The sequence below is a fragment of the Homo sapiens genome, chromosome 19 (assembly GCF_000001405.40).
Source record: "Homo sapiens chromosome 19, GRCh38.p14 Primary Assembly".
In the NCBI taxonomy this organism is placed as follows: domain Eukaryota; kingdom Metazoa; phylum Chordata; class Mammalia; order Primates; family Hominidae; genus Homo; species Homo sapiens.
Window position 1 is genome coordinate 10,763,310 of NC_000019.10, and position 25,360 is coordinate 10,788,669.

The window sequence follows — 25,360 nt, forward strand, 5'->3', positions numbered from 1 at the left end:
AAGTGATCTGCCCACCTTGGCCTCCCAAAGGGCTGAGATTGCAGGTATGAGCTACCGCGCCTGGCAAATTTTTAAATTGAGATGAAGTCTTGCTATATTGACCAGGCTGGTCTTGAACTCCTGGGCTCAAGCAATCCTCCCATCTCAGCTTCCCAAAATGCTGGGATGACAGGGGTGAGCCCCTGCGCCCGACCAGGCTCCAATCTCTTATTGCTCCAAGTAGGTGCCCACTTGGTGCTGGGCCTTAGCTGATCTCCAGGGAGGCAGCGTGAGCACCTGGCATGGTCCCAGCCCCCGAGCCCAGCCTGTGAGTGTCTGTTGGATTCACCTTGGGGTTGGGGGCCCAGAGAGAACATTCTAGGTAGGGAAACAGCATTAGCAAAGCAGTGTGGGGAGGTGGTGAGGCTTGGGAGGGGCCAGAAGGCAGGAGGGACTGGGACTGGAAGGCATGTTGAGGATTCAGGCAGTGGGAGCTGGGGTGGCATGCATGGTGGCGGGAGACCACTGGCTGCCATGTTCAGGAGGGACAGTCAGGGACCAGAATGCAAGCGGGGAGTGGGGGATAGGGAGTGGCAGAGAGGCTGGCATGGCGCCAGGCAAGAGGCAATGGGGGCCTGGCCCTGGTGGTGCGGGCAGATGCCAGGCAGTCTAGACTGTCTTCCAGGCAAGGCATTAAGCAGCATAGGCACCCTTGCTGGGGGAGGTGGGTGGGAGGTAGGACGCCTTACTAAGAGGAGAGGAAAATGAACACATTGCGGGCATCAGTGATTGCTGGGGCCGGCGGGGCCTTGTGGGGTATACACCAGACCACGTGGCTCCTAGGGATTGGCAGCTGGCTCTCTGTGACCAAACTCAGAACCAGGCTGCCACCCTTTACTGGCCCGGGACTTGTTAAAGTGACTTCCCTCTCTGTGCCTTGGTAGCTTCATCTGTAAAATGGGGGTGATGGTGGCGCTGCCATCGTGGCCATGGCACCCCATTGGCTGTGGTATGCTGTCTCTTCCTGTGGGGTCTGATGTCCAAAGACAGGGCCCCCAGGGCGCAGCCCACGTTCCCCTCTGGTTCCCGCAGCTTGCCCTCATTCCAGCCATCCCCAGTGAACCATAACTTCCAGCCATAGAAGTTTAAACATTACCTAAGACCATAACCACCAGGAAGTTTGGTGGCCCATGAGTGAACCCTGCCCTCACTGGGAAGCAGCCCCGTAAACTCTGAGTGCCTGGGACTGTTCCTGTGTGGAATGTGCACAGTGAGGCCCTGTGAACCACCCCTCCCCACCGCCCTTGGCCTTGAACTGGCCTTTGGTGTGCTCACCGGAACCAAGGAAGAGATGTCAGGACCTGGCTCCAGGGCTTCCCATTGGCCTCAGAATCAAATCGAGCCTCCTTCTCAAGGCCTTGTGGCCCTTGCCAGTCTCTGGGACCTCACCTCCTCCTGGTCCCCAGCCACTGCCCCCATCCATCTCCCTCCTGATTCTCAGGCCCAGCTTGCTGGTTCCCACTGCTTGGCCTCTGTGCTCACTGTGCTGCCTGCCTGGAACGCCCTGTTCCCTACCTGCCACTGTCTGCTGCTCACCCGCACCTGGTCACTTGCCGCCTTCGTTCCCCGGTCCCCGGCAGCACGAGTTATCCTGTTCTTGTTTTTTCTTTTTCTTTTTTTTTTTTTTTTGAGATGGAGTCTCGCTGTCGCCCAGGCTGGAGTGCAGTGGCGCCATCTCAGCTCACTGCAAGCTCCGCCTCCCGGGTTCACACCATGCTCCTGTCTCAGCCTCCGGCGTAGCTGGGACTACAGGCGCCCGCCACCTCGCCCGGCTAATTTTTTTGTATGCTTAGTAGAGACGGGGTTTCACCGTGTTAGCCAGGATGGTCTCGATCTCCTGACCTCGTGATCCGCCCACCTCGGCCTCCCAAAGTGCTGGGATTACAGGCGTGAGCCACCACGCCCGGCCTGTTTTTTCTTAATGGACTCTCTCTGCGCCAGCACACGAGAACAGGCATGCAGATCGGCTCTGCCCAGCACAGGGCCTGGCGCCGAGCAGGTGCTCCGCATGCACGGCCGAGTGAACGAGCTCAAAGGGCTGGTGCTGTGCCCCTTCTTGCCTACTGGGCGGGAAGTGATGGGGGTTACTTTACCAAGCATCTTCCCCTGGTGAGCCTGGTCCATCACTCTGCCATTCCATCTGCAGCCTTGTATCTAGAGAGCAGACCAAGCTGGCGTGCGTCAGGCTGTGGGCTGGCTGGGATGCCTGCCCAGGCTGACACCTTCCCAGTGGCAATTTGTCCTGGACTGGGAGATATTTGCGTATTGCCTCGGATTAGAGAGAACTCAAGGGCTAAATGGGCATGGGAAGTGTTGTGTGCTGTGCCCACTTCTTGGTCTGCTGAAGGCTCTCAAAAGTCCTGCATGAGTGGATCCTGCCTGCTGGCGTGGTAGCTAGGGTCTCCTGATGGTGGCAGATCCCCAAGTTGTTCCCCCTGGTCCTGCCTGCCAACAGCAGGTTTGGGAAAGGCAGATCTCCTCTCCTTGCCTTCAGGGCCAGCCTCGTCATTGTGTTCTTTGCTGGGGGAACGGTGAGAAGATCCAGGGCAGAGCCCCAGTGTGCAAAGCACTGGGACCCTAGCCCAGCCCCTGAGGGTTCCCTGAGACTAACAGCTGAGCCGTGTTTGTGCTCCTGATGGGATTTGATCGCAGTCATATGGGAGCCCCGGCACTGGGTTCTGTGTCATTGCATTTTGGGGAAACTGAGGTGCTGAGAGAAGGGTAGGAACCCGGAGCTGGGTGTCGCTAGGCTGTGAAACCACGAGGCACCCCGAAAACTCTCCTCCCTCTCTCCCTCTCCTCACCTCCCCAAACCCTGCTGTCTTTTCTGTTGGGCTGAAGGCAGGTCTTCCCAGCAGGACCTGGGCATTTCAAAATTCTTAAGTAGTGCCAGCGGGCACGTGACCAGTGTGCTTTGAAGATAGGGAGGGCCATTCTCTGACCAAGGGCCTTCGGTCACTCTGGGGCTCCACAAGCTCCTTTGAAACAGGAGGCTCCGAAGACCTCCAGGGTCTCCAGGCCAGAGGTGACTGTGGCCTCTGGCAAGGGGCTGCTTCTTCATGTCCCAGGCCCCCTGACCCTGAGAAGGTGGCAGCTTGCACCTGTGGCTCCCTTCTGGGGACACCTCAAAGGGCCTGAGGTGCAGGGGATTGACTGTTTAGCACAGTGGGGCCCCAGTTGGGGGTTCCTGGGAGTGATGTCCTCCTAGGTTAGAGCACAGATTCTTTTTTCATGGATTTTAATTAAGCAGCTGCTGTATACGAGATGCTAGGGGGAACTGTGATCACACCAAGTCTCTGCTCTCTCAGAGCTCCAGCTTCAGTAGGGGACACAGGCTTGGGAGGGAGGCAGAACCTCTCTCTGGAAAAACCCGCAAGTACAACCAGTGGGCCCACAGTTAGGAGGCCCTGTGGTGGGCGAGGACGGCTGACTCCCTGGCCTTGGCAGCGTGATTGCTGGATGACTGCCCAGATTAATCCTTTACTCCTGCTGTGTGCCAGGCTGGGTCCCTCAGAGTCCCCAGGGCCTGATCACATGCCAGCTGCGAACCTCTCTGAGGGGGCCCGGGCTGACCCTCCTCCCAGGGAGCCCTCCTGGCTCAGGGTGCCGGGTGACAGTGGGGGTGTGTGTGGAGCTATCAAAATGCTTTGCAGTTTGCCGAGGAATTACAGGAACTGGCTTTGGTATCTGGAAATGCCTGTCTGCAGAGGGTGGCTGTGGGGTGCAGCTTGATGGCAGGGACCGGGACAGGCAGAGCCAGGGGTGGCTCAGTGGCTTGTTGGCTGGGCCTCGGCTGCTGCTGCTGTGGACAAGTTGACAGGGAACTCAGTGTTAAGGCCTCTGGCTGATTCTTTGGGCCAGTGGATTGTTAAAAAAAAAAAAAAAATCATCTCATCTCCAGCACTTGAGCGCATGCAGCGTTCCAGAGGCCCAGGCTAGGCCCTCCACTCTATTTCTCTTTTTGTCATTGTTTTGAGACAGGGTCTCTGGCCTCCCCTTGTCATCCAGGCTGGAGTGCAGTGGCGTGATCACAGCTCACTGCAGCTTCAACCTCCCAGGCTCAAGCAGTCCTCCCACCTCAGCCACCCGTGTAGCTGGAACTACAGGCTTGCGCCACCACGCCCAGCTAATTTTTAATTTTTTTGTACATGTAGGATCTTGCTATGTTGCCCAGGCTGGCCTCCAATGATTCTCCCACTTCAGCCTCCCAAAGTGCTGGAGTTACAGGCATGGGCCACTGCTCTCGGCCTGGTGGAAGCTTTTAAACCTCTATTGGGCTGGGCATGATGGCTCATGCCTGTAATCCCAGCACTTTGGGAGGCCGAGGTGGGCGGATCACCTGAGGTCTGGAGTTCGAGACCAGCCTGGCTAACATGGTGAAACCTCATCTTTACTAAAAATATACAAATTAGCCAGGCGTGGTGGCATGCGCCTATAATCCCAGTTACTTGGGAGGCCGAAGTATGAGAATAGCTTGAACCGGGGAGGCAGAGGTTGCAGTGAGCCGAGATTTCACTACTGCACTCCAGCCTGGGTGACAGAGCAAGACTCAGTCTCAAAACAAACAAACAAAAAACCTCTGTTGACCTGGCATTCAGCATTTACTTTCACCATGCCAGGGAGCCCTGTGAAGAAAGGCAGGCAGCTGCGGCAGACCTGGTCGGTGCCTGGGCCTTTTTCTCTGGTGTGGTTCTGTTGCTCACTGACCCACTAGGGAAGAAACGGTTTTCTGGCACCTGCTGTCCATATCCTTCGCCCACATGGAGGGGTTGGCCGACAGCAGAAGGATCTTGGAGGAGAGATCACAAAGAACAGCCCCTGCTGGCCGGGCGCGGTGGCTCACACCTGTAATCCCAGCACTTTGGGAGGCCGAGGCGGGTAGATCACGAGGTCAGGAGATCGCGATCATCCTGGCTAACACGGTGAAACCATGTCTCCACTAAAAATACAAAAAAATTAGCTGGGCGTGGTGGCGGGCGCCTGTCGTCCCAGCTACTTAGGAGGCTAAGGTAGGAGAATGGCATGAACCCAGGAGGCAGAGTTTGCAGTGAGCCGAGATTGCACTACTACACTCCAGCCTGGGTGACAGAGCGAGACTTCGTCTCAAAAAAAACAACAACAACAAAAAAAAACAGCCCCTGTCTTCTCTGATCCCCTGTTGGTTCCCAGCCTGCATGTGACAACCGGGGAAGGTGCCGTGCTCCAAAGTCTGGCATGTGAGTCTGGCTGCCTGGTTCCAGCCCCATCTCGTGTCTGCCCCTGACTGGGCGGACTTGGGTGGGGCAGGTGGTCCTTCCTGGGCCCGTTTCCTGGTCCTTGCGTTGGGGAATGGCCTGAGGTTCCGGGGGAACCTTTTGCAGCTCAGACACCTAGATTCAGCTTGCTGGGGAAGCCTGTGGCAGCCGGGCAGGCAGAACCTCCATTTCTCACCTAACATGCGTGAGTGTGCCCTTGGGGACACAGCAATGACCAAGGCAGATGGGCGTCCCTTCCCTGGTGGCATGGACATTCAAGGTAAAGCTCTCTATATTAGATTTCTTCTCACCCTTTGTCAGATGGTAGTAAGTGTTATGGGGAAACGAAGGCAGGGGAGGAGGGGGCTGGGTGGAGCAGCTGCTGTGGGGAGAGAGATCTGCAGGAGGTGGGGATGCTGTGTGACTTGAGAGAGTAGCTTGCCCTCTCTGGGCTCCTGCCTGTGTGTGCTGGGGGAACGATGGCGCCCACTGCCCCTGGTGCTGTCTTTGCCACATCATTCCTTGGGGACTTCTGCCCACCAGCTGCTCAGACCGTAGCTGTGCTGGCTATGCTCTTCCTGTGCAGGTATTGACTCTGAGTCCTCATACAGCCTGTTATGATGCGCATTTTACAGATCAGTAGACTGAGACCTGGGCAGGCCCTCTGACTACAGACTGAGCTCATTACTGCACACAGCGTGCTGCCAGTACATGCTGGGCTCTGGGGTGCTGGAGCCGCAGGTCCTGGCCCCATCAATACAATCCAAAGTGAGCTGGCTCTGATGAGGAAGAGGCCAAGATGCCCCACTCAGGGAAGTCTTCCTGGGAGAGGTGGTAGCCAGGCAGACCTGGGAGTAGGAGGAGGTAGGGCTGGGCTTTGTAGACACCACACTTGGTGGGACAGAGGCCTGCTAGGGAGAGGGCCTGTGTCCTTGCCACCAGCCCATCTTCCACGCCATGTCCCCCTGCACTCTTTGAAGGGAGATGGTCTCTTTTGGGGCTAAGCTGGGGTCCTGGAGCCAGAAGAGAACTGAGATTTGCTGTGGGGGGTTGGGAGCTGTTCCATTTTTAGTGGCTGCTACAGGAAGAGCGGCCGAGTGTTTCCCCTTGTCCCTGCAGAAGGCTGGAGTGTAACTGTCCTTGGGAACTGGGTCAGCTGATAGCAGGGCTGGGGGTGGGGGTGGGGATCCTGAATCCTCCAGCAGATGTCCTCATTGCCCTGATCTGGGTGGCCAGTGCCTGTGCTGGACACGGTCCTCAGTCATCGGAGCCCACTGAGTCTCCCCCTGACCCTGCAGAGAATTTCAAAGAGGCGAAGTTCCTTCCAGTGGCCTCACAAAGGCTATCTGGCTTAGGAGCCATTACCTGAAGCCAGAATTTCTGAGTTCCAAGTCCCAGCTCCATCACGGAACTTGGCCCAAGGCCCTTAACCCCTCTGGGCCTCAGTTTTGTCATCTTTGAAATGGGGATCTTAGAGATGCCTACCTGTCAAGGGACTTGTGAGGCGCAACGGGACCACACGCAGGGCCTGGCCAGAGTGCCGTAGTTTCTTCGGTTGCCATGATGGGACGGTGAAACTCCTCACACTCTTCTTTCTGCCTTGAAGATTCTAGACCTGGCTGGGTGTTCATCTCCCTTTTTGCCTTTGCTTGAGGCAGTTTATGGCATGGCTGTGTTATTCACGTCGCCAGGTCTCCTCCTGGTGGACGTTGAGGCCATTTTCATTTTTTTACTCTTAAAAACGACAGGGCAGTGCGCATCTTCGCATCTCCGGGGTGGGTCAGGTCTCTGACCTCTTTGCCAGTGTGACTTATTACCCCTTTCTTTCTTTGTTTTTCTTTTTGAGACAGTGTCTTGCTCTGTCGCCAGGCTGGAATGCAGTGGTGTGATCATAGATCATAGCTCACTGCAACCTCCAGCTCCTGGCTCAAATGATCCTCCCACTTCAGCCGATATTAATCCATTTTCATGCTGCTGATAAAGACGTATTTGAGACCGGGCAATTTACAAAAGAAAGAGGTTTAATGGAGTTACAGTTCCACACAGCTGGGCTGGGGAAGCCCCACAATCATGGCAGAAGGCAAGGAGGAGCAAGTCACATCTTATACGGATGGCAGCTGGCAAAGAGAGTGAGAGAGCTTCTGCAGGGAAACTCCTGTTTTTAAAACCATCAGATCTCGTGAGACTTATTCTCTATCACGAGAATAGCACGGGAAAGACCCACCCCCATGATTCATTGATCTCCCACTGGGTCCCTGCTACAACACAAGGGAATTATGGGAGCTACAAGATGAGATTTGGGTGGGGACACAGAGCCAGACCATATCAGCCTCCCAAGTAGCTGGAACTACAGGTGTGCGCCAACATGCCTGGCTAATTTTTTAAATTTCTGTAGAGACGGGGTCTCACTGTGTCACCCAGGCCGGTCTTGAACTCCTGGGCTCAAGTGATCCACCCTCCTCGGCGTCCCACAGTGCTGGATAATAGGCGTGAGCCACTGTGCCCAGCCATTTCCCCCTTATTTTTAGCATCACTACAGTAGCTGTGATCTCTGAGCTTTGGGGATATCCCCTCCCCAACATTTTACTCTGAAAATTCGAACATCTGGAAACGTCAAGGCTTTGTACAGTGGACACCTGTGTACTCGGCAGCCACCTTCCGTGATGAACATGCCTTATATTTGCTTTGTCCTCAATCTGTGATTCGGGACTGGATTTCTCTTGTTTCCTGGTGGGACCCACACTGCTTGTCAATTACTTATTTTGTTCCCCTTCATCCCAGTCTTGCTGTGACTTTCAGATACCCCCGGGTCTTATATACACTCAGGGTTATACCCAGAAAACATTTCTCCTGGGGGATTTGTCTCTAGGTAGGGGGCCCTCTTGAATAGTCAGGGGGAGAAAGAAAGACTCAAGACCAGCTCTGAGGAGGCGGCAGGGGTGCCCCTTCCCTCTACCTTGTGGGCTCCTTGGGGAAGAAGGACAAGTGAGTGCCATGAGAAATACCCCTGGGGATTTTGTGGAGCTGGAATGTGCTGGTGGACCATGAATCCACAAGGACTTGGGCATCGAACTCCCTTGACTGGGACCCACAGCAAGGGAGGCTCTGCAGCATCACCTTAATCAAATGGACTCACCCTCTCTGGGTGATGTATCCTGGTGCTTCCTCTTCTGTTCATCAGTCAATCAACAAATAAATGGCTGGGCGTGGAGGCATATGCCTGTAATCCCAGAAACTTTGGTCATTGGTTATGTCTACCTGTTTATTTTTGGGGGAGGGGGATTCATAATATGTCATGACGTATATTAACAGTTTGCAAAGTGCCACATGGGAACGTAATCTTCAGGATCTGGAAAGAGGCTCAGTCTATTCAGTCTATAGGAACCCCCGCCTCCCCCAAGACCCTTGTCATGAGAACGAATCTTTCACTCCCAAATTCCTAGAGTGACGATGATTGGGTCATTATTTTCTTTTTTATTTTATTTTATTTTATTTTATTTATTTTTTTATTTTTTTGAGATGGAGTCTTCTCTGTCTCCCAGGCTAGAGTGCAGTGGCGCAATCTCGGCTCACTACAACCTCCGCCTCCCGGGTTCAAGCAATTATCCTGCCTCAGCCTCCTGAGTAGCTGAGACTACAGGCATGTGCCACCATGCCAGGCTAATTTTTTGTATTTTTAGTAGAGACAGGGTTTCACCATGTTAGTGAGGATGGTCTGAATCTCCTGACCTTGTGATCTGCCCACCTCTGCCTCCCAAAGTGCTGGGATTACAGGCGTGAGCTACTGTGCCCAGCCTGGGTCATTACTTTCATTCAACAAAGCATTTCTCCCCGCAGTCCATGCGCACCCTGCCCACAGCTCTTTCTCATTTTCAGCATCTCTCTTCCCTTTCTAGAACATGCCGAGTTTTTGCACTGCAAGTCCAAAAAGTTTACAGACTTTGATGAAGTCCGGCAGGAGATTGAAGCAGAGACCGACAGGGTCACGGGGACCAACAAAGGCATCTCCCCAGTGCCCATCAACCTTCGAGTCTACTCGCCACACGGTAGGCAGCACGGGTGGGGACCCATCACTGACCGTTTCTGGTCGTTCATGGACAGTGCTATGGGTGAGCCTGTGTACTTCCACTCATGGGTATCATGTGCCCATTCACAAACAGTTGATATTCACACACACATAGCCCCTTGATCTGTATCTTCCCACTTGTGCTAGGTATGTAGTACCCAGACCTCTGTCTCAGCTTGAAGAAAGAGCATGCCAAGAAGTTGTTTGGAGTGGTGGGGGATTGCAGCCATTTCCCCCTTTTACCAAGGGCAGCCACCACTTGGCTCAAGGCAGCCAGATCTGCTGGTGCCTCAAGAGAGGCCAGAACCAGTCTTCTGTAAAATATCCTGGGTTTTTTTTTTTTTTTTTTGAGACAGAGTCTTGCTCTGTTGCCCAGTCTGGGGTTCAGTGGTGTGATCTCTGCTCGCTGCAACCTCCACCTCCCAGGTTCAAGCAATTATTGTGCCTCAGCCGCCCAAGTAGCTGGGATTACAGGCATGCACCACTACACCCAGCTAATTTTTTTTTTTTTTTTTTTGAGATGGAGTCTCGCTCTGTCGCCCAGACTGGAGTACAGTGGTGTGATCTCAGCTCACTGCAGTCTCCGCCTCCCAGGTTCAAGCTATTCTCCTGCCTCAGCCTCCCAAGTAGCTAGGACTAGAGGCAACTGCCGCCACGCCTGGCAAATTTTTTGTATTTTTAGTAGAGATGGGATTTCACCATATTGGCCAGGCTTGTCTCAAACTCCCGACCTTGTGATCTGCCCACTTTGGCCTCCCAAAATGCTGGGATTACAGACGTGAGCCGCCGCGCCCGGCCAAATTTTTTTTTTTTTTTTTGAGACAGAGTCTCGCTCTGTTGCCCAGGCTGGAGTGTAGTGGCGCAATCTCCACTCAATGCAACCTTCACCTCCCGGGTTCAAGCAATTCTCTGGCCTCAGCCTCCCGAGTAGCTGGGATTACAGGTGTGTACCACCCTGCCTGGCTAATTTTTTTTTTATTTTTTATTTTTTTTATTTTTAGTAGAGACGGGGTTTCACCATGTTGCACAGGCTGGTCTCGAACTCCTGAGCTCAGGCAATCCACCCACCTCAGACTCCCAAAGTGCTAGGATTACAGGCGTGAGCCACCACGCCCAGCCCATTCAGCTACTTTTTTGTATTTTTAGTAGAGATGGGGTTTCACCATGTTGGCCAGGCTGGTCTCGAACTCCTAACCTCAGGTGATCGCCTGCATCCCCCTCCCAAAGTGCTGGGATTACAGGTTTTAGCCACCTTGCCCAGCCAAATATCCTGATTTTAAAACTCTGCATTCAAACAGCAGCCCGGGGCCATAGACATCCTCTGGCCCAGAGGCACAGATTGCTACCATGATGGGTTCCTTGCGATAAGTTTTAAATTTGTTTTTCAATAAATGACACCTGCATGTGGCTCAGAATTCAAAAATTACAGAAAGGTATATCGCAAAAACCTACCTTGTCAACCAGTTTTGCACACATATTTTAGGTTCTTCAGATGACAATGCAAACATGAGCTGGGTGTGGTTTCACACACCTGTCATTCAAGCTGCCTGAAAGGCTGAGTCAGGAGGGTCACTTGGGCCCAGGAAGTCGAGGTTGCAGTGAGCTATGATCACATCTGTGAATAGCTACTGCACTTCACCTGGGTAACATAGCAAGACCCTCTATCTTAAAAAAAATGTGTAAGCAAAAAACATGTAAGCAATTGTGATTGTATCTATGTATATGTTGTGTATGTGTTTATCACTCCTTTTCCTTAAATTGTTAGCATAACATAAAAATCACTTATGCTTTTTTTGAGATGGAGTTTCACTCTTATTGCCCAGGCTGGAGTGCAATGGTGCAATCTTGGCTTACCGCAACCTCCACCTCCCGGGTTCAAGTGATTCTCCTGCCTCAGCCCCCTGAGTAGCTGGGATTACAGGCATGCGCCACCTCACCCGGCTAATTTTGTATTTTTAGTAGAGACGGGGTTTGTCCGTGTTGGTCAGGCTGGTCTCGAACTCCCGACCTCAGGTGATCGCCTGCCTTGGCCTCCCAAAGTGCTGGCATTACAGGTGTGAGCCACTGCGTTGGCCTATGCTTTTTTTTTTTTTTTGTATGCCTCTCAGAATGTTTCTTTATTATATATTTATTTTTTTTTTTTTTTGAGACAGGGTTTAACACTGTTGGCCAAGCTGGAGTACAGTGGTGAGATCTTGGCTCACTTCTTCTCCTGGGCTCAGGCGATCCTCCCGCCTTAGTCTCCTGAGTAGTTAGGACAACAGATGCACACCATCATGCCAGGCTAATTTTTTATATTTTTGGTAGAGGTAGGGTTTCGCCATCTTGCCCAGGCTGGTTTCGAACTCCTGAGCTCAAGTGATCTACCCATCATGGCCTCCCAAAGTGCTGGGATGACAGGCATGAGTCACCGCGCCTGGCCTCATCCATTTGTCTTTTGTTTTTGTTTTTTTGAGACAGTCTTGCTCTGTCGCCCAGGCTGGAGTGCAGTGGTATGATCTCAGCTCACTGCAACCTCCACCTTCTGGGTTCAAGTGTTTCTCATGCCTCAGCCTCCAGAGTAGCTGGGAGTACAAGTGTGTGCTACCACGCCCAGCTAATTTTTGTATACTTAGTACAGATGGGGTTTTGCCATGTTGGCTAGGCTGGTCTAGAACTCCTGGCCTCAAGTGATCCACCCACCTCGGCCTCCCAAAGTGCTGGGATTGCAGATGTGAGCCACCGCACCCAGCCTCATCTGTTTGTCTGTAATGGTTCTTTGGTATTGGCTGAATGGATGGGCTGAAATTTATTCAGTCATTTAGGTCTATTCCAGTCTGAACTGTCCTGATTTAGAACTGTGCCATTGAAATGGAGTAGGTAGAAGGTATCTGTAGGATGGGATCCTAGAAGGGGAGTTACTGGATCAAAGGTGTGGTTCAGGCAGAGTGTCAGGCGACATCCTCAAGTCTGAGCCCCGCGCAGGAACTTTGGTAGTCAGCTGGGTGGCTGCGGGCCTGTTTGTGCCTCCCCTCTCCTGGCTCTGAATGCCTTTCCTTCTGGTTTCCCTCCCAGTGTTGAACTTGACCCTCATCGACCTCCCGGGTATCACCAAGGTGCCTGTGGGCGACCAGCCTCCAGACATCGAGTACCAGATCAAGGACATGATCCTGCAGTTCATCAGCCGGGAGAGCAGCCTCATTCTGGCTGTCACGCCCGCCAACATGGACCTGGCCAACTCCGACGCCCTCAAGCTGGCCAAGGAAGTCGATCCCCAAGGTAACCCTGAGCCTAGGGCAGTCCCCTCTTCCAGGTGCCTCTGAGCATGGGATGTGCCCAGCATCCTTGGTTCCAAGTCACTGGCGTTCTCTTTAATCCATGGCCGCTGTAGGAAAAGGCCTCCTGGAACATGGCACTTCCTCCGAGAACCAGCAGTGCTGGTGGGCATCCCCTGGGAAGTCACTGTGTGGCAGTTGGACGGTCCTCCTTGGACATGGCAGTGCCCATGTTGCCAGAGTGGGAAGCTAGCCTAGGGCTGAAGGAAGGGCCCAGCGCTCCATCGCCCAGATGCGATCTTAGGTCCCATCTAGCTGTTACTCTGCTCCCTGAGACATGGTCCCCTCTTAGTCAGAACGGGAACTTCAGTCCTAACCCAGATAGCTGATGTGAGGACTGTTGAACTTTTGGGTTGTTTCTGATCTTTGCATGGTGAGATCGTCTATTTCCCTTCGAGTTGACACCCCTGGGCCCCTCTAGTCAGATCCTTCTACTGAACCCTCACTGCAGAATGTGAGCAGGAAGGGGCCCCAGGGAGGGCACAGCTGTGGCCCCCTTGATGCCCAAATTGGCACCCACCAGAGATCTTCACTCTGGCTTCCATCTGTCCCCAGTGTCTCATGCACATGCCACACATATAACACACACGGTTAGCACAGAGCCAGGCCCTCAGCCCCCGTGGGAGCAGTTGATCTGCAGAGGTGAGACTTTGCTAGAAAGACATCCTTGACTCTGGAATGACTTGTGGAGAGGTGGAATTGGATGGGATGGTTTCCAGAGTGGAATTTTAGCCATTCAGGCAAGAGGTAGTCCTGGAAACAGTCGTGTCAAACTCAAATGTTCCCTTGGGACTTTGCCGGCACTTGGAAAGTCCAGCATCAAAATCTGGCCCAGGAATCATGTTTACGTGAGGTTTCCCAAAGCCTGCAGCAGCAGAGGTTGTCCTTAATAACACAAATGACAATAACGGCCAGCATTTGTTGAGTATTTGCCGTGTGCCAGGCTCACCCTTATGACCACCCTGTGAGATCAGGGCTGTGACCATCTTCATTCGACATGTCGGAAACTGGGGTCCAGGCCTGTGACGTTCTGGCTTTCCCAGGTGATGTGACCTGGAAGTTTCAGGGCCAACTGGACCCCAGGTGGCTTGCAGCTGCCAGCTGATGCTCTTTCCTGGTGGCAGCCTCTGACCTCTGACCTCTGGGCTCTTTCAGGCCTACGGACCATCGGTGTCATCACCAAGCTTGACCTGATGGACGAGGGCACCGACGCCAGGGACGTCTTGGAGAACAAGTTGCTCCCGTTGAGAAGAGGTGTGGCTTTGGGGGTGCTGGGGAAGCAGGAGGATGGGTGGGGTCCTTATCATTACTGAAACCCCAGCACCTGTTCCCTGCCTGCCTGGAAGTCATTGCTTCTCCATTTCACCGTAACTCCTTCTTTCTTTTCCCTTTGAGCTATGTATCTTTTTCTTCTGATTTGTATGCATTCGTTTTTCAAGTGCACAATTAACACCTGCTGGTTTCTGAAACATTAGAAAACAAGTGTATAGAAAGAGGAAACTAAACTCACCCGCAGCCACACTTCCCCCAGACAGCCACTGGTGAATCTGCAGCTCCCAGCTCCCCAGGGTTTATAACTTTAATTAATTTTTTTATTACTTTCTATTATGAGCCTTCCCTTCCCTTTTCCTTTTCCTTTTTGTTTTTTGAGACGGAGTTTTTGCTCTTGTCACCCAAGCTATAGTACAGTGGCACAATCTCAGCTCACTGCAACCTCCGCCTCCCAGGTTCAACTGATTCTCCTGCCCCAGCTTCCTGAGTAGCTGGGATTACAAGTGGGCACCACCACGCCCAGCTAGTTTTTGTATTTTTACTAGAGACGGGGTTTCACTGTGTTGGCCAAGCTGGTCTCAAACTCCTGACTTCAGGTGATCCACTTGCCTTGGCCTCCCAAAGTGCTGGGATTACAGCCATGAGCCACCGCACCCGGCCTATTATGAGCATTTTCAAACATTCCCAAAAGTGTGGAAAAAAGTTCAAAGAATCCTCGTGGATGGCTTCCCCAGCTTCGGTGGTTATTATTATTATTTTCTTCCTGGAATATTTTATTTTTTCATTTTATTTATTTATTTATTTATTTATTTATTTATTTATGAGACGGAGTCTCTGTTGCCCAGGCTGGAGTGCAATGGTGCAGTCTGGGCTCACTGCAACCTCCACCTCCCAGGTTCATGCCATTCTCCTGCCTCAGCCTCCCGAGTAGCTGGGATTACAGGTGCCAGCCACCACGCGTGGCTAATTTTTGTATTTTTAATTGAGACAGGGTTTCACCATGTTGGCCAGGCTGGTCTCGAACTGCTGACCTCGTGATCCACCCGCCTCGGCCTCCCAAAGTGCTGGGATTACAGGTGTGAGCCACCGCACCCGGCCATCTTCCTGGAAGATTTTAACACAAATCCTAGGCACTGGCTGGGCGAGGTGGCTCACGCCTGTAATCTCAGTGCTTTGGGAGGCTGAGGCAGGAGGATGCCTTGAGGCTGGGAGTTCAAGACTAGCCTGGGCAACATATCAAGTCCCTGTCTCTACTAAAGATTAAAAAGTTAGCTGGGCATGGTGGCATACACCTATAGTCCCACCTACTTAAGAGGCTGAGGTGGGAAGATTGCTTGAGCCCAGGAGTTCGAAGCTGCAGTGAGCTATGATCACACTACTACACTCTAGCCTGCACAACAGAGCAAGATCTTGCCTCTAAAAAAAAAAAAATTCTATAAATCCTAGGCATTGTAGCATTTTACACATAAATACCCACATTTCTTTTCAAATACTTCCCCTTGCCATCCCATTTGTTTTTTTCTATACCATTCATTTGTGGAAGAAACCAGACCACATCCCACATTTGGGATTTGGCCAATTATTGTTCTCTGTTAGCTGGTAATTAGATCAGGTTCAGGTTCAAGTTCAGGTACAGATCTTCTGATAGGAGTAACCTAAGTATTTTTTATTTTATTTTAAAAATATTTTAAATATTTTGGGTCGGGCATGGTGACTCACACCTGTAATCCCAGCACTTTGGGAGGCCAAGGCAGGCGGATCACAAGGTCAGGAGATCAAGACCATCCTTGCTAACACAGTGAAATGTTGTCTGTACTAAAAATACAAAAAATTAGCCAGGCGTGGTGGCACACACTTGTAGTCCCAGCTACTCGGGAGGCTGAGGCAGGAGAATCGCTTGAACCCAGGAGGTGGAGGTTGCAGCGAGCTGAGATGGCGCCACTTCACTCCAGCCTGGGCCACAGAGCAAGGGTCTGTCTCAAAAAAAAAAAAAAAGAAAAATTTTTCAAGCATTTTATTTTATCGGAGCAGCAGTTTTAGGTTCATAGCCAAACTGAGAGGGAGATACAGAGATTTCCTATCAGCCCTATAGCCCACACATCTGTAACCTCTCCCACTTTCAACGTGCCCAGCAGAGCGGTGCATTTGCTAGAACTGATGAGCCTGCGTTGACCCATTGTCACCACCCCACCCCACATCCATGGTTGACATCAGGGTTCACTCTTGCTGTTATAAGTTTTTTTCTTTCTTTCTTTCTTTCTTTCTTTCTTTTTTTTTTTTTTTTTTTTTTTTTGACGATGTCTTATTCTGTCACCTAGGCTGGAGTGCACTGGGACAATCATAGCTCACTGTAGCCTTAAACTCCCAGGCTCAAGTGATCCTCCGAGCTCAGCCTCCCAAGTATTTGGGATTACAGGCATGTGCGATTGCTCCTGGCTAGGTTTTATTTTGTTTTGTTTTATTTTTTTCAGACAGAGTTTCATTCTTGTTGCCCAGGCTGGAGTGCAGGGGCACAATCTCAGCTGACTGCAACCTCTGCCTCCTGAGTAGCTGGGATTACAGGCACTCGCCACCACACACAGCTGATTTTTGTGTTTTTAGTAGAGATGGGGTTTCACCATGTTGGCTAGGCTGGTCTTGAACTCCTGACCTCATGTGATCCACCCGCCTCAGCCTCCCAAAATGCTGGGATTAAAGGCATGAGCCACCGTGCCCAGCCTTCTTTTGTGTTTTTTTAAAGCCATTCCTCCCCTCTGGCATCTACTCTAAGCTGCGGGCACCTCCTGCCTTTCCCTTCATGCTTAGCCGCAGTCATTTAGAGCATTTCTTTTACTCCTGGGTTTTCCACCTCGATGTCTGAGATAGATGTGGGGAAAAGTTCAGACCTTGGTTGCCAGCATCCCCCAGCACTGCTGAGATATTGAGTGGTGAGGCGACCCCGGATCCCAGGGGAATGCTGTCAGGGCTAAATTCAAAACCCTGTTTAGCTGTGAAGATCCGGGGCTGAGAAGCAAATCTGTGGCTGGCTGAGGTTTGGGGAGGATTTGCTGGTGCTAGAGAGGAAAGCAGACCCTACCCAACCCCACGCCCTACTACAGCCACCCCGACCCGGCTGCCCTTGGACACTGTTAGGCCTCCATCTTGGATCCTAAGGGCCTTTGGGGTCTGTGGGCACTAGCCAGGCTGAGGATTTGGTGATATGGGCCTCTTCCCCTTCCTCCTGACTCACTGATGTCCACAGCTGCCCTTCTCTGCCTTCCTTCCTGTTTCTAAGAACGAAGGCGCTTCCACTCTCAGCTCACTTGTAGGCCTGCTCCCGTTTTGTGACCTCAGGCTTCAGAAGCCCTCCCACTGGACCCTTTTTCCTGGCGTACTAATGACTCACAACTCCTCCTCCTTTACGGGAACCCAGGCTAGGCGTGGTGGCTCATGCCTATAACCCCAGGATTTTGGAAAGCACAGTTGGGAGGATGGCTTGAGGCCCAGAGTTTGAGACCAGCCTGAGCAACACAGCAAGACCCCATCTCTCTCTTAAAAAATTATCCAGGCTGGGCACAGTGGCTCACGCCTGTAATCCCAGCACTTTGGGAGACCAAGGCGGGTGGATCAAACCCCAGCTCTACTAAAAATAGAATTAGCTGGGTGTGTTGGTGCATGCCTGTAATCCCAGCTACTCGAGAGGCTGAGACATGAGAATCGCTTGAACCCAGGAGGCAGAGGTTGTAGTGAGCTGAGATTGCACCACTGTACTCCAGCCTGGGTGACAGAGTGAGACTCTGTCTTTAAAAAAAAAAAAAAAAAAAAAAATCCGTGTGTGATGGTGCACGTGCCTGTACTCCCAGCTACTCAGGAGGCTGAGTCCGGAGGATGGCTTGAGCCCAGGAGTTCAAAGCTGTAGTAAGCTATGATTGTGCCACTGCAATGCAGAATGGGCAGCAGAGCGAGACTCCATCTCTTAATTAAGTAAATCAAGCCAAATCCAAGCCAGATGCTTTTTACTGGCCCCTGCTGTTTCCTTCTTTGTGCTGTCACACAGGTGATGGTGACTCTGGCTTCACAGGGATCTAGGTTCAGATCTTGGGTCTCCTACTGTGACCTCACCTTGGCATGTCTTCGTTTCCCTCCTCCCTCTTGGATCCAAGAGAGATCTGGCGAGGATGAAGAGCAGTCACATCCCACAAGACCCTACAGGATAGATGACCGGCACCTCTCCCTTGCTTCTCAAGAGAAACATGCACAACCCCACTACAAAGAAAAGGGAGCACAGGCCAGGCACTGTGGCTCACGCCTGTAATTCCAGCACTTTGGGAGGCCATGGCGGGCAGATCATGAGGTCAGGAGTTCGAGACCAGCATGGCCAACATGGTGAAACCCCGTCTCTACTAAAAAAACAAAAATTAGCCAGGCGTGGTGACGCACGCCTGTAATCCCAGATGCTCAGGAGGTGGAGGTTGCAGTGAGCTGAGGTTGCACCACTGCACTTCAGCCTGGGCAGCAAGAGTGAAACTCTGTCTCAAAACAAAAAACCCCACAAAACAAAAACCTAGCCAGGAGTGCAATGGTAGGCATTCCACTTGGATTCTTTGCAACAGTGTGTATTGAATTATCCAGCTTTTCTCCCCCATATACTGAAGCGTTAACTTTCAGTTCTACCTCCTTCTCGGTGTAGTTTTGGACTTTCTTTTCAGTTCCATTGATCTCTCTGGACATGAATACCCTGATGTACCCAACTGTTTAAAATATACTCGTTTGATAGTGGATTTTAGCTCTTCCCTATTGCTCTTGTTTTTAAGATGTTATTTCTTTTTTTTCTTGTGAGACAAGGCCTCGCTCTGTTGCCCGGGCTGGAGTGCAGTGGGGTGATTACAGCTTGCTGCAACCTCGAACTCCCAGGCTCAGGTGATCCTCCCATCTCAGCCTCCCAGGTAGCTGGGACTATACACGTGTGCTACCACGCCTCGCTAATTTTTGTATATTTTTGTAGAGATGGGGTTTTGCCATGTTACCCAGGCTGGTCTGGAACTCTTGGGCTCAAGCGTTCCACCCGCCTCGGCCTCCCAAAGTGTTGGAATTACAGGCGTGAGCCACCGCACCTGGCCTTGAGATTTTTTTTCTTTTTCTTTTTCTTTTTCTCTTTCTTTTTATTCAGAGTCTTGATCTGTCGCCCAGGCTGAAGTGTAGTTGCATGATCTTGGCTCACTGCAACCTCCGCCTGCCGGGTTCAAGCGGTTCTCCTGCCTCAGCCTCCCGAGTACCTGGGACTATAGTCACGCGCCACCATGCACGGCTAATTTTTTGTATTTTTAGTAGAGGCGGGGTTTCACCATGCTGGCCAGGGTGGCCTCGAGCTCCTTACCTTGTGATCTACCCACCTCAGCCTCCCAAAGTGATGGGATTACAGGCGTGAGCCACCGCTCCCGGCCGAGATTTTTTTCTCACCTATCTTTGAATCTCAGCTTGTAGATTTCATCTGCCCCAAAGCTTTTTTCTGTCCCTGCGCACACAGGCTGGATGTGAGCTCTCCTTCCTCCAAATACTTAATGTTGCTCTTCGCAGCTGCCATGTGCATTCGCACCCTCTGTGTTGTTTCTGAGTAACATGTTATGACAGCTGTGAGTGCCTCGTGGGACAGGATCCATCTCTATACTTGAATCTTGCCCATCCCCGTGCCAGGTCCACTTGGCTCACCTAGCTTTGCCCCTGACCTGACTGCCTCTCCCCACAGGCTACATTGGCGTGGTGAACCGCAGCCAGAAGGATATTGAGGGCAAGAAGGACATCCGTGCAGCACTGGCAGCTGAGAGGAAGTTCTTCCTCTCCCACCCGGCCTACCGGCACATGGCCGACCGCATGGGCACGCCACATCTGCAGAAGACGCTGAATCAGGTACTGCAAGGGTTTGCACGTAGTGTGCAGTGGCATAGGCTGTGCACTGCACAACAGCTGCAATCCTCACTGGCACTTGTTTCAGGCTAGAGCAGCACTTGTTTTAGCAAAATGGGTTCAGTCCACATTTAGCCTAGGAGTTTGAGACCAGTCTGGGCAACATATGGAGACCCCATCTCTAGGAAAAATAGAAAAAATTAGCTAAGCATGGTGGCACATGCCTGTAGTCCCAGGTACTCAGGAGGCTGAGGCAGGAGGATCACTTGAGCCTGGAAAATCAAGGCTTCAGTGAGCCATGTTCATGCCACTGCACTCCAGCCTGGGCAATAGAGTGAGACCCTGTTTCAAAAACTTAAATAACTAAATAAAAGAAATGTACTTGATTCAGGGTCTGGTGAAGAGCAGATGTTCAGTGACTTGGTGCTGCTACTATTACAACCATCACTGTTATTATTACCAAAATTTTAATTATCATTGTAATTATTCAGTCATTTACCCAGAAGACTGTATGCATTGCCTGGGGTTGGTGACAGGGGGTTAATAACTCTTTTTTATTTATTATTATTATTATTATTATTATTATTATTTTTTATTTTTGGAGACACAGTCTCACTCTGTCACCTAGGCTAGAGTGCAGTGGCATGATCTTGGCTCACTGCAACCTCCACGTCCCAGGTTCGAGTGATTCTCCTGCCTCAGCTTCCTGAGTAGCTGGGATTACAGGCGTGTGCCACCACACCTGGCTAATTTTTGTATTTTTAGTAGAGATGGAGTTTCACCATGTTGGCCAGGCTGGTCTCAAATTCTGAGCTCGAGTGATCCGCCTGTGTCAGCCTCCTGAAGTGCTGAGATTACAAGCATGAGCCACCATGCCTGGCCTATCGTTCTCTTCTTGTAAGTAATTGATTCACATGGTGCATAAACAGAAATGGTATTAAAAGCTATACAGTGGGCCAGTGTGTGGTAGCAGGGGCAAGACGCTCCTCCTCGCTGTTTTCTAGCACCTTCCAGGGTGGCAGCAGGGCCTCAGCAGCACTCCAGCAGTCATCTTTTCATGCACATATCAGGGGGACACAGTGTCCACACGAGAGTAGGTTCCTGTCCTTGTAGAAGGCATAATTCTAATGGGGGAGACTGACACCCAACAAACCGCCAGATAAATGCACGATCAAGAATCCAGTAGGGGCGCGGGGGCCGGGAAAAGAGCCACCCAGAGAAGGCAGCTCAGGAGAGCAAAGAGGGAAGTCAGTGTCTAGAGGGAGGGGCCCTCCAGGAGAGGAAGCTGGGGTGCTTACAAACGGGAGTAGGGAGAGGAAGGGAAGTAAAACTCCGCAGCTGGCTGGGGCCTCCTGAGAGCCAGCAGTGAAAAGTCCAGCTGGCCTCCAGGGAGCCTGGAGGGGGCTCAGCCTCCTTCCACGTGGGGTGCTTCCCAGAGCAGCAGCGCCCCTTCCTCTCCATTTGCTCATGACTTAAGTGCCCTAGTATCCTGTCACAGACCAAGGGAAGGCCAGCGTAGCTCCCTGCCTTTCTAGGCAGCCCACATAGACGGGGGTCGATGGCCAGGGCTGCAGGGCAGGGACCCTTGGTCACGGAGGTCTTTGGGTTACCCCACTTGCTCCATGCCATAGATGTGAGGTTCCTTCATGCCTCTTTTCTAGCTCGCCAGACACTTTGTATTTATTTTTTATTTTTTTGATGATTTTTTTTTTTTTTTTTTTTTTGAGACAGAGCCTCACTCTGTTGCCCGGGCTGGAGTGCAGTGGCATGATCTCAGCTCACTCCAGCCTCCACCTCCCAGGTTCAAGTGATTCTCATGCCTCAGCCTCCCAAGTAGCTGGGATTACAGGCGTGCGCCACCACACTCAACTAACTTTTGTATTTTTAGCAGAGACAGGGTTTCACCATGTTGGCCAGGCTTGTCTCCTAATCTCAGGTGATCTGCCCGCCTTAGCCTCCCAAAGTGCTGGGATTACAGGCGTGAGCCACTGTACCCATCCCGGCCTTCCCCTCAACCCCAGATGGAGTCTCGCTCTGTTGCCCAGGCTGGAGTACAGTGGCACAATCTCGGCTCACTGTAAGCTCCGTCTCCCGGGTTCACACCATTCTCCTGCCTCAGCCTCCCGAGTAGCTGGGACTATAGGCACCCATCACCACACCCGGCTAATTTTTTTTTTTTTTTTGTATTTTTAGTAGAGACGGGGTTTCACCGTGTTAGCTGGGATGGTCTTGATCTCTTGACCTCATGATCTGCCTGCCTTGGCCTCCCAAAGTGCTGGAATTACAGTGTGAGCCACTGCCCCCGGCCCATGCCCAGCCTTTTTGATTTTTCAGACAAGGTCTTACTCTGTTGTCCAGAATGGATTGCAGTGACACAAACACGGCTCATTGCATCCTCAGCCTCCTGTACTCAAGCGATCCTTTTGCCTTAGCCTCCTGAGTAGCTGGGACTACAGGTGTGTGCTGCCACACCTAGCTAATTTTTAAAACTTTTTTTATCTTTTGTAGAGAGAAGGTCTCACCATATTGCCTGGGCTGGTCTCAAACGCCTATCCTCTAGTGATCTGTCTCAACCTCCCCAAGTGCTAGGATTACAGGCGTGAGCCACTGCACCCAGCTTTCTCTGTTGTAGGACAGATGGCCAAACTCTGCTTTACACTTTGCAAGTATAGGCTGATTTTATGGCTTTGTTTTTCTTTTTCTTTTTTTTTGAGACAGAGTCTTGCTCTGTCACCCAGGCTGGAGTGCCATTGTGTGATCTCGGCCCACTGCAACCTCCACCTCCCGAGTTCTTTCTCAGCCTCCCAAGTAGCTGAGACTACAGGCACCCACCACCACACCGAGATAATTTTTGTATTTTTTGGTAGAAACAGGGTTTCATTGTGTTGGCCAGGCTGGTCTCGATCTCTTGATCTTAAGTGATCCTTCTGCCTCAGTCTCCCAAAGTGCTGGGATTGCAGGTGTGTACCACCATGCCTGGCCCACATTTGTCTATTTTGAATCTTCCTTGCTTTTCTCTGTAGATGCAGATGCAGCCGGGGAGCTCATCTTGAGTGCATTCTCCACCTTTTCAGGGGCGATCTTTCCATCTTAGTTTGTAGGGCCTGTCCCCATGTGTGTTCATTGGCCCCCGTTTCCGTGGTCTGGATGGACTGTCCTTGCAAGCTGTTGCTTGTCCTCCAAGGCGTGGATAGGCCCAGTGCCTGATGTCGGCCCCGTGGGCTGTTTGTAGCCTCTTACACTCATGGGCAGCTCCGTGCCGTCTCCGTTCCCAGACATGAGTGTGTCTGTGGCTTGATTTATCTGTTGCTGTCTCTCAAGGCTGTGTGGTGTGGTGGCCGCATAGTGGCACCCTGGTGTTGGCCCTTGGTTGGGGGGAGTGTGTCTGCCACTCCCTGGTATCCTGCCCATGCCACCCTTTCTGATCTCTGACCTCTCTCCTGCAGCAACTGACCAACCACATCCGGGAGTCGCTGCCGGCCCTACGTAGCAAACTACAGAGCCAGCTGCTGTCCCTGGAGAAGGAGGTGGAGGAGTACAAGAACTTTCGGCCCGACGACCCCACCCGCAAAACCAAAGCCCTGCTGCAGTATGTACCCCGGCACCCACCACCACCACCACCCTGGCCCCTGCCTTCCATCAGCCACAGGGCCCCCTAGGCTGGGCACCACTCATCACTCGTCCACTCATTGATTCAGCAGACACTTGCTGCAAGCCTTCTGCGTGCCAGGCTCCATCCTAAGCATGGCATTCGCCCCAGTGGAGGGGACAGGTGTCCGTCCCTGCCCCTGGAGTGCTCAGAATGGGGGGAAGTGGGACGAATGGGACAAAAAACAAGAAAGAAAATGTATAGTGTGTTAAATGTCAAAATATGAAAGTGGTGCTAGTGTGGGAGTTGTCGGGAACAGCCTCCTTTAGAAGGTGAGCATTGGCCGGCCAGGAGCGGTGGTTCACGTCTGTAATCCCAGCACTTTGGGAGGCCAAGGTGGGTGGATCACCTGAGGTCGGGAGTTCGAGACCAGCCTGATCAACATGGTGAAACCCCGTCTCTACTGAAATTGCAAAATTAGGCTGGGCATGGTGGCTCACACCTGTAATCCCCGTACTTTTGGGAGGCCGAGGCGAGCGGATCATGTCAGGAGATCGAGACCATCCTGGCTAACGTGGTGAAACCCCATCACTACCAAAAAAAAAATACAAAAAACTAGCCAGGCGTGGTGGTGGGCGCCTGTGGTCCCAGCTACTTGGGAGGCTGAGGCAGGAGAATGGCGTGAACCCAGGAGGTGGAGCTTTCAGTGAGTCGAGATTGCGCAACTTCACTCCAGCCTGGGCATCAGAGTGAGACTCTGTTTAAAAAAAAGAAAAAAGGCCAGGCACGGTGGCTCACGCCTGTAATCCTAGCACTTTGGGAGGCTGAGGTGGGTGGATCACCAGGTCAGGAGATTGAGACCACGGTGAAACCCTGTCTCTACTCAACGTACAAAAAAATTAGCCGGGCGCGGTGGTGGGCACCTGTAGTCCCAGCTACACAGGAGGCTGAGGCAGGAGAATGACATGAACCCAGGAGGCGGAGCTTGCAGTGAGCTGAGATCACGCCACTGCACTCCAGCCTGGGTGATCGAGCAAGACTGTCTCAAAAAAAAAAAAAAAAAAATTGCAAAATTATCCAGGCATGGTGGCACATGCCTGTAATCCCAGCTACTTGGGAGACTGAGGCAAGAGAATTGCTTGAACCCAGGAGGTTGAGGTTGCAGTGAGCCGAGATCGTGCCATTGCACTCCAGCCTGGGTGATAGGGCAAGACTCCGTCTCCAAAAAAAAAAGATGAGTGTTGGCCAGGGGTGGTGGCTTACGCCTGTAATCCCAACATTTTGGGAGGCCGAGGCGGGAGGATCACTTGAGGTCCGGAGTTCAAGACCAGCCTGGCCAACATGGTGAAACCCCTGTCTCTACTGAAAATACAAAAATTAGCCAGGTGTGGTGGCAGGCGCCTGTAATCCCAGCTACTCGGGAGACTGAGGCAAGAGAATCGCTTGAAGCCAAGAGGCAGAGGTTGCAGTGAGCTGAGAACGTGTCACTGCATATCAGCCTGGGCAACAGAGTAAGACTCCGTCTCAAAAAAAAAAAAAAAAAAAGAAGTTGAGTGTCAGGCGAAGACCTGAAGCAGGTGAGGGCAGGGCAGGAGCCGTGTGGGATTAAGCCCGGCCAGTGCAAAGGCCCTGGGGCAGGACTGGGCCGGGCATGTCAGAGGAAGACCCTGTGGCTGGATGGAGTGAGTGAGGGGAGTGGGAGGAGGTGATAGAGCAGGTTGTGCAGGGCCTTGTGGGGCCTCAGGGAGGACATTGGCTTTTGCTGTGAGTGAGGTGGGAGCCATGGACAGTTCTGAGCGCAGGAGAGTCAGGACTGACTCAGGTGCTCACAGGCTCCCTAGCCGTGGTGGGAGAAGAGACATGGGAGAGCGGGTGGGAGCCAGACCTTGGCTAGGTTAGGTCCCTCTCCAGCTTGGCCTCTTAAGATCCACCCCATGACTTGGTTGGTGCAGCTGCTTAGCTG

At 52.1% G+C, this 25,360-nt stretch overlaps 1 protein-coding gene and 1 non-coding gene across 6 annotated transcripts in view, besides 1 other annotated feature; both read left to right on the forward strand.

Moving 5' to 3' along the window:
* DNM2 (dynamin 2) overlaps nucleotides 1-25,360 on the forward strand; it is a 113,825-nt gene that overhangs the window by 45,231 nt on the left and 43,234 nt on the right. For all 5 annotated transcript variants that reach the window (NM_001005360.3, NM_001190716.2, NM_004945.4 and 2 more), the window contains exons 3-7: nucleotides 9,170-9,319; nucleotides 12,394-12,597; nucleotides 13,809-13,907; nucleotides 19,651-19,811; nucleotides 23,255-23,397. In NM_001005360.3, the coding sequence (NP_001005360.1) occupies nucleotides 9,170-9,319; nucleotides 12,394-12,597; nucleotides 13,809-13,907; nucleotides 19,651-19,811; nucleotides 23,255-23,397 (757 nt within the window). The remainder of the gene's footprint in view (nucleotides 1-9,169; nucleotides 9,320-12,393; nucleotides 12,598-13,808; nucleotides 13,908-19,650; nucleotides 19,812-23,254; nucleotides 23,398-25,360) is intronic.
* Nucleotides 14,046-14,395: an enhancer, noted in NCBI's record as "active region_13993". NCBI's record gives its function as "activates an Ori minimal core promoter by ATAC-STARR-seq in GM12878 lymphoblastoid cells {active_cell/tissue: GM12878}" and the evidence as "EXISTENCE:reporter gene assay evidence [ECO:0000049][PMID:35858748]".
* MIR4748 (microRNA 4748) lies at nucleotides 16,945-17,026 on the forward strand. Its single transcript, NR_039903.1, has one exon. It is a non-coding gene; the product is annotated as a microRNA 4748 (primary transcript).